General features: G+C 41.1%; 1 protein-coding gene across 4 annotated transcripts in view, besides 5 other annotated features; it reads left to right on the top strand.

Annotated features, from left to right (window-relative positions):
* Nucleotides 280-845: an enhancer, noted in NCBI's record as "NANOG-H3K27ac-H3K4me1 hESC enhancer chr4:125633861-125634426 (GRCh37/hg19 assembly coordinates)". NCBI's record gives its function as "activates a minimal SCP1, AML or CMV promoter by ChIP-STARR-seq in primed H9 embryonic stem cells {active_cell/tissue: H9 hESC(primed)}" and the evidence as "EXISTENCE:reporter gene assay evidence [ECO:0000049][PMID:30033119]".
* Nucleotides 280-1411: a biological region, named in NCBI's record as "NANOG-H3K27ac-H3K4me1 hESC enhancers GRCh37_chr4:125633295-125633860 and GRCh37_chr4:125633861-125634426".
* Nucleotides 563-942: a silencer, noted in NCBI's record as "silent region_15670". NCBI's record gives its function as "represses an Ori minimal core promoter by ATAC-STARR-seq in GM12878 lymphoblastoid cells {active_cell/tissue: GM12878}" and the evidence as "EXISTENCE:reporter gene assay evidence [ECO:0000049][PMID:35858748]".
* The window catches only part of ANKRD50 (ankyrin repeat domain containing 50), a 48685-nt gene continuing 41474 nt past the window's right edge, over nt 819-8029 (top strand). The window contains exons 1-2 of one of the 4 annotated variants that reach the window (NM_020337.3): nt 819-1093; nt 2277-3551. In NM_020337.3, the coding sequence (NP_065070.1) occupies nt 3040-3551 (512 nt within the window). In that variant the 5' untranslated portion in view covers nt 819-1093; nt 2277-3039. Of the gene's footprint in view, nt 3552-8029 lie in introns of all 4 variants that reach the window. The other 3 variants (XM_047415992.1, NM_001167882.2, XM_017008471.2) reach the window with 3 other exon arrangements.
* Nucleotides 846-1411: an enhancer, noted in NCBI's record as "NANOG-H3K27ac-H3K4me1 hESC enhancer chr4:125633295-125633860 (GRCh37/hg19 assembly coordinates)". NCBI's record gives its function as "activates a minimal SCP1, AML or CMV promoter by ChIP-STARR-seq in primed H9 embryonic stem cells {active_cell/tissue: H9 hESC(primed)}" and the evidence as "EXISTENCE:reporter gene assay evidence [ECO:0000049][PMID:30033119]".
* Nucleotides 1093-1332: a silencer, noted in NCBI's record as "silent region_15669". NCBI's record gives its function as "represses an Ori minimal core promoter by ATAC-STARR-seq in GM12878 lymphoblastoid cells {active_cell/tissue: GM12878}" and the evidence as "EXISTENCE:reporter gene assay evidence [ECO:0000049][PMID:35858748]".

Below are 8029 nucleotides of genomic sequence, written 5' to 3'. Positions count from 1 at the left end.
CCCCTGTGAGCAGGCCCTCTAGGGCATTTCCTGACGCCACATGACCAAGACCTTCCCCCCTAGTGGACGCTGCGGGTGATCAAGTGGCCCTGAGGAGCAGGGGCCTGAGACCCAGTCAAGCCTGCTGTCAACCTCCATCTGATGGAGGCCACGTCCTTTTCATGAGGCTGGTAGGAATGTCGCTGTATACCCCCACTATTTCTATTTTCGCAACATTCTTCCCAGTCTTTTCCTTCCTTCTCTTCGTCCCAGCCAAAGTAAAAGCATCCCTGGAATTTAATGGACTGAAAGGAGACCGGACGACTGAGGGGTAGAACGGGGCCCGAAGTGGCTTTGGAAGCAACGGGGTTAAGGGAGAGGCAAAAGGGTTGAGCAGAGAGAGGCAAGAGGCAATCTCCCCCTACCCAACTGCCCCTCCCAGGAGCAGATACGGCACCAACAGCCGGCGAGTCCCTCCGGCCTGGAAGACAAAGGAAGGATCAGGGCCCAGTGGTGACGGGGAGGGTGGGGGCAACGACTCGCGTGAGCTCGGAGACGTGAGAACGCAGCCCCCGCCCCGTTCTCCGCCTCCCCTGAGAAAGGCGGGGCCCCCACGCCGCCCCGAGACAGGTCTCCCCGCCGCGCCGGCAGCGGGTCCCAGGCGGCCGCACACGCCCAGGCACGGGATGCTGCGGGAGAGCGCGGTGGGGGAGGGGAAGGACGCGGAGGCGGAGCCGGCGGGCAAAGAAAGGCCGAGCGGCGGGGCGGGGGCGGGGGCGGGGGCGGGGTCTGGGCTGGGCGGGCGGGGCGGAGCCGGCCGGCCGGGGGCTGCCTGAGACAGTTACTGCCCTGACGGCGGCGGCGGCGGCGGTTGGCCGGTGGGGGCTGGGGCGAGCACGACCGATTCTGCTGGGAAAGCTGGAACTGGCAGCCGCCGGGGGCCAAGAGGAGGATCCGGAGCTGGGAGCGTGCCCCGGGCCCGGCGGAGGAGGCGGCTGCAGTTGGAGTGGAGTCTTGGGAGCGCTGCTGGCAGCGACTTCTCAGCGAAGCAAGTGTCTGAGACTGAGAGTCCCTAACAGCGGCAGCGGCGGCCACGGCGGCGGCTGGGGCCGAGGTAACCGGGGGGCGGCGGCGGCGGTGGAAGCGAGGCCCCTCCCTCGGGTTGGAAGCTGGGAGGCCGAGGCCGTGGCTTGGACCTGACCCAACCACCCACCCTCTCCGGCCTCGAGCCCCAGATTTGCCCTCTTCCCTCGCACCGCCGTCGGCCGGGTGGGAGCGGGAGCGGGGCATGGGGCGGGAGCGCAGAGGCGGAAGCCGACCGGGAGGCGACCCCTCGTCTGGGATTGGCAAGGACCTCAGTCACCCCCTCCCCCTTCAAAAGACACACCCCAATCTCGGTGCGGGGCGGGGTGCAGAGGCGCTCCCAGCCTCTGGAAGGGCAGACCTCGGTGTGGAGGCTGCACCTTCGCTCGTGGCCTCTCTGAGGTGGCTCCCCTGTGGCTCCTCTGGGCGGTTCCAACCCAAGGTGGTGCCCGGCGCTGGGAATCCCGGAGTTCCTTTTGTCTGTCAGCTGAAACTGGAGGCCGGACCTGTGGGCAGACACCCACCAGCACCGAAGCACTCTACTCTTTATCCCTTTCCTGTCTTGGAAGGAATTTCTCTCTAGCAGCCTTTTCTCCGGCCAGACTGGTAGATTTTATCCCTGACCTCCATCCTTGGCCCAGAGGAAGGAAGGATTCACATTTTACTTGTGTTTGCTTTATCATTCTTATAAGAACAGTCATCCCCCATCGTTTTTGTTTTTTTTTTTTAAACCGTTTCCCATCCAGCTGCAACCCTGGTAATCTTCCCCTAGATTTTTGCACATTATCAACAAAGAAGTGTGGCTGGAGGAGTAGACAGTCCTTGACTGACTGGACTGTGTAAGTTAATAGAGCTTCCTTAGCTGGCGCTGTTCTACCAGTCTACTGTGAATGAGCGTTTTGCCTGGAGTTAAGGGTGTTACTGTATGTGCGTAAAGTTTCTCCCCCCCTCCTTTGCTATGGTGAAGTTGCAAAAATCTTGGGTAACTTGATTAAAATGTGGCTGTTTGGGAAGCATAACAATGAGGAAGAAAAATGCAGAAGGGAGAATGTGATTATTTCAGTGGTTTTTGTCCAACTTTTTGAAAGTGCCAAAGGTGAAGTACGTGGATTTTTGAGATTACGTTAACTGGTACACTGCAACCTTTATTGTCCTTAATAAGTTTTTAACATATGATATTTTGCACTGAGGTATTTTTGTTTGTTTTATTTTAGTTACTTGTGGAAATTGTTGATTACCCGGACGTCTTAAAACCAAGAAACCTGTGAACAGGTTCATTAAGAATCTGCTGTCTTGAAAAATGCATATTATGAATGCTTTGAATTAAGAAGGTGTTAACAGTGGTTGTCATTTCTGCCACATAAGAGACTATAATCTGAAACAGTTCCTGGCAGTTGCCCAGATGCCTGAAACTGGCACGATCTAGTACTCTTGAGTGATCATCCTTCAACGAGAAATACAGAGCTACTTACATACTGTACCTCATACCGTATAAATGTAATCTCTCTGATGCCATTTAATGCAGTGGACCTCTTTTCAGAATCTAATTGTCAGATGCAGAATTAACACTTGGAATCTGGAGAAGCATTTTGTACAAATTGAAAGATTGGGTTTTTTCTTTAGTTTTCCACATGTATTGTCTCATCTCTGTTCTTGAAACATCCACAATCACATAAACTCCAGTTATAACCATGGAGTTATGTGACTCATTAAAATTTAGGAAAAGTGTTGCTGAGCTGTGGAATCAGGCGTTTCTCCCTCAGTTCAACAACTAATACATAGACTGCTGATCAAGAATAAGGAACCAAATAAAGTCATGCACGTTCTGTTGACAGAGGAACTCTGTGGCTGTTGAATTTTACTGTAACTAGTTACTCTGTCTTCAGAGTCAACTTAATATACAAGTTATGTCATAATGGATGGAAAGACCTGTGTTGATGTATCCAGACTCTAGCAAATGAAGATAAAAAACCCGTTATGACTAATCCTTGGGAAGAGAAAGTCTGCAAAATGGCTCAAACCAGTTTACTGCAAGGGAAGCAGTTTTACTGTAGGGAGTGGGTTTTCCACAAGCTTCAGCATTGCCTCCAGGAGAAAAGTAACTGCTGCAATAGTGCTGTCAATGCACCATCACTTGTAATGAATTCTGGGAATAATGCTAGTGGTGTCTCTGGAAAGGGAGCTGCCTGGGGTGTGTTGTTGGTAGGAGGGCCTGGCAGTGGCAAGACGGCCCTATGTACTGAACTCTTATGGCCAAGTTCACCTGCAAGTTTGCAGAGAGGTTTACATCGCCAAGCTTTGGCCTTTCATTTCTGCAAAGCCCAGGACTCTGATACTTTGTGTGTTGGAGGGTTTATTAGAGGTCTAGTAGCCCAGATCTGCCGCAGTGGACTACTCCAAGGATATGAGGACAAGCTAAGGGATCCAGCAGTCCAAAGCCTCTTACAGCCTGGGGAGTGCGAGAGAAACCCAGCCGAAGCATTTAAAAGGTAACAATAAAAATGTCATGGTGTTCAGATTTCTATGCTGAAATTAAATTAATTTTTAGTTGTAGTTTTTTGTTTTAACTTTGTGGGTTACTTTTACTGGTGCTGTACATTTGGCCTTAATCTGAAGTTATGAGTATACCTGTTTACTTTGAATATCAAAGGAAGTAAAATTTAGGTTTTGGTATTGCACAGCATATGGATTAAAATGGATTAAAAGTGTATCTTAATTTTACTTAATAACATAATGTTACTTACATTGCCTATAAATGGTAAGGGAAATTTGTTCTTATGGTAGAGAAGCACATTTAGCTGTCTGGAAATAGGTTACATTTTCAGAGGGTGAACTGAACTTAGAGTAATTATCAGTATAGCATCTAGTATCTTTTTATTTTTTTCCTTATAGTAGTAGTATTTTTTTAAGTAAGAAAGGTTTTCTTTAAAGGAGATTATTGGCCACTGAGAATCTGAAGAAAATTTGCTGATGAGTTTTGGGATTTATTCTCCTATTAACTAACTAATTGAAAAACTGGTATTTAGAAGTATGTGAATTTATAAAATAGCGAACATTTGGGATCATCTTACTACTTTTACTTTTAGTGAGTGGTACAAAGAAAGTGTTTTTTCCTAACTTCAGCAAAGCTTTTTTTCCATGGTAAATGGATTGGTCCAGGAAGTGAGCAAGTTGCTTTCCAGAGTGGTTTCAGATTCAAATCTGTTCAAGAAAATATAATTCCTTGAAAACATTTTTTTTTGCATATCATGCCTCTGCTCATTGTAAAAGTAGCAGGCAAATTGTTAGTTTGTGCTTCACTTCTGCTTGAATTACCCATTTTGCCATAAGCTTTTTCTCTACAATAACATTCTTAGCGGGCAAAAGTTTGTTCTCCAAAGATTCTGGTATACTGTGCACTGGAGGTTTGTGTGTGTGTGTGTGTGTGGCTCTCTTCTGCTTGAGTGTGTTTCTAGGAGAGATTTGAATCACTCTAAAAAGAGTGATGTTTGTTTTTATGATATCCTCAAATCTAATGGGGTGAAATCTATACATTTTGAAAGTAATATTGAAAATATTTAATAGTAATTACAGTAAACAGTAAGTGTCAGTCATTATTCTAAGTGCTTTACAAATATTAGATCATTTAATCCTCATAATAATCCTGTGAGGTAGTTACTACTCCCATTTTATAGATGAGGAAACTAAGGTACAGAGAGGCTAAATAAATTGTTCAAGGTTACAGACTAGTAAATGGCAGGGCTGAGATTTTAAATGTGTGTGTGTGTATGTGTGTGTGTGTGTGTGTGTGTGTGTGTATGTGTTAGTAATCTTAGAAATTCTCTGGGGGACTTGATGGGAAGAGGAGGGGTTTAGAAGGTTATGTATGGCAAAGCTGGAGAACAGGAGTTGTGTCACAGTGTGGTTTGAGTGTGGTTTTCAGATTACCCATATAGTGATAGAGGGAGTGGTATTCTAGAATGAGAGTTAGGGATGGTACAGAATTCAAATATGGGAGGAATTTATTAAAGTCAGCCAAAGGGATGTATCTTTGAGAGGTGTGATATTCTTGTAGACTCTTTAATATGTAAATTTAGTCCAATAAAACTAAAGGCAAATCTATTATCTTTTGTTGTTAGCCATCAAAGTCAGCGTTAAAACTGTTGTATCATTCTTAAATTAATGAGGAAATCTGTTAGTTGATGCCTGTGGCATGTGAGATGCAAGGTTTGATGGAGAGTGTTCAATATGGAATCACTGTACAGAATAAATAATGTAGTCTTTAATATAAAACTATACCTTTTAATAGAATTAAAACTGTACATAAGCAACTCTTTTCTTCTTACTGCTTTTTCTGAAGATACTAGTGGCAGAGCAGAATTTTCATTTCTTTGTGATAAGTAATTTCATAAGCTATTTAGGTTTATTGACACCTACCAATAACTTTCAAAGAGCTTAGTCTGAGGTGAACTTAATCTGATGTAACCAAGGTATGTAATTTATAATTTATTGAAATTCATATGTAAATTTCTGATACCTGAATGTTGAATGTTTAAAAATCATGTCTGATTACTGTATTTTTGATATATTCTGATCCTAAGCATAGCTTTCTCTATGGTATCATAGATTTTCCTGAAAAATAATTCTTTTATTCAATTGTTTCTTTTATTTTTTCTTTTTCCTGTGTGATTCTCAGTTATTAGCTAATTGAAGAGGAAGAAGAAGCAATTAGAGCTGTGTGTAAAAACCATACCAGCCCTGCTTTTCTGATTGACAGAAGGAGCCAATCACTTTGCATTCCCAGTTTACACTTTAATAAAAGAGAAGGCTTTAGTCTTTCTACTTGGACCATTTTGGTGCTCTTCACTGATTTCTTACTGGACTTTTCAAAAACCTGAGTCACTTTCTTTCTTCATCGTTAAAGTAATTGATCATGATATTAATTAGGGAACTATGGTATTGAAACACTCTTTTTGATCATTCATAGAGACACATTTCCATTACAACTGTGAAGCTATAATACAGCTATATTCACTTGCAAACCTGAGAGCACAATTCAAAGTTAAAAAGATGTATTTTTGTTTGGTATGTGATATTACATTATCTAGGCTTCTACTTTTGGACAAATAATTCAAGATTTTATTGTAGGTTCTATTATTGATTGACAGATTTCTTAAATAAGTCCTTTAGAGAATTTTAATAGGAACGTATTTTATTTAGGCATGGATAGATATAATTCAACAGGTGGAAAATGGGGCTGAAAACCATTGTTTCCAAAGAGTTACAATATTTTGAGGGAAATGGAAATGGAAGTAGCTAATTATAACATGACAGGAGATTAAATATAAATGTAAGCAAACAGCAGGAAAATATTTATTTTTCGCTTTTGACAAAAACTAAATCCAAAACCAGTTTTTGCATTATTACTTTTTAACCTTTAAATTTCTGCTAATATTGATGGTTTCATATACAGACTTTTCCCAATTTATAATAGTTCAACTTAAGATTCTTTGACTTTAGGATGGTGAGAAAGCAATATGTATTTAGTAGAAACCTTACTTTGAGTACCCATACAACTGTTCTGTTTTTTACTTTCAATATAGTATTCAATAAATTACATGATATATTCAACACTTCATTATAAAATAAACTTTGTGTTAGATACTTTTGCTCAAGTGTAGACTAATGTAAGTATTCTGAGCATGCTTAAGGTAGGGTAGGCTAAGCGATGATGTTTGGTAGGTTGAGAGTTATCAGATGCATTTTTGACTTAAGATATTTTCAACATATAATGGATTTATCAGGGTGTAATCCTATCATAGGTTAAGGAGCATCCGTATTCATGTGTGAAACAATTTTAATAGTTATAGAAAGTTGATAATGAAAAAATCTCAGTTATTCACAGATTCACAAAGCTGGGGAAATTGCAGAGAAGTGATTTACTTGATGCTTTTTAAATCCACTTATCTTTTCTTCAGTTTGCTTCTTAGCTTTCTTTAATTTTTTTTGTGCCTAATGATAGTAGATAGAATACGTGATACATGAAATTATATGGCTAAATCGTAATTTGTTAATTACTAGTTCATAATAATTAAGGAAGAGTGAAAGGAACTTCATCTTAATCTAGTGAAACATTGCCACTTTCTTCCCTTCTGACATGGTATAGTATATTCTATAGTTTTTTAGATATAGTTGTCACGAAATTTCTTCTGACATTCATTTATTTGTATGACAAATAATGAGAGTGTTCTCCGTTTGAAGCATAGTTCATTTGCGTTATTTATTAAGAACCTTCTGTGTGTTAGGTAGAGTTCAGCTGGAGATAAATCAGGGAATAGAACAGACAGAATTCTGCCTTCATGGAACTCAAATTCTAACATTAATATTTATCTTATTCATATAGAGAGAAATAACCATCAGAGTAAATACTTGTTACAGTGTTCATGAAACACATGAACATTTAAACATTAATAGAATTTTGTGATCTGCTAAAGGGAATGATATGAAGACACATTGCTATCTTTTTTTCATTTTTATTTTTCGTATCTGGTTAAAGTACAATGCTATTGTTAATTTCTTTACAATATTTTATTTCCTCATTTCTGAAACTAAGTTGATGTTTATATTTTTACTTACTTTGAGAGCCAAAGGCTGATTTCTTTAATTCTGCCTCCCACTTTAGGCCTTTAGTGCAAAACTTTGTATATTTTACATTGACTGTGTCTTTTCTAGAGTTAGTGTTAGAGGTGGACTCCTAGTAGTCCTATAATTATAAAACAAATTCCAATTATTTTTGACAAAAAACTCAAGCAACTAAGTTAGTGAGGGGTGGAGGGTGGTAGCATTAGGTTTTGTGGCTGGTTTAGAAGATAGCTGTTTCAATCAACCAGAAACACCTTTCTGGACTTTGAACAGAAATCGTTTTGGAGATTTAAAAGGATATGGTGTTGGGAAATACAAATTTTTGTTCTTAGTGTATGTCATTACC

Source organism: Homo sapiens, chromosome 4 (genome assembly GCF_000001405.40).
Source record: "Homo sapiens chromosome 4, GRCh38.p14 Primary Assembly".
Taxonomy (NCBI): domain Eukaryota; kingdom Metazoa; phylum Chordata; class Mammalia; order Primates; family Hominidae; genus Homo; species Homo sapiens.
Note: the sequence above shows the minus strand (reverse complement) of the source record. Positions and strands in the feature narration are given on the sequence as shown.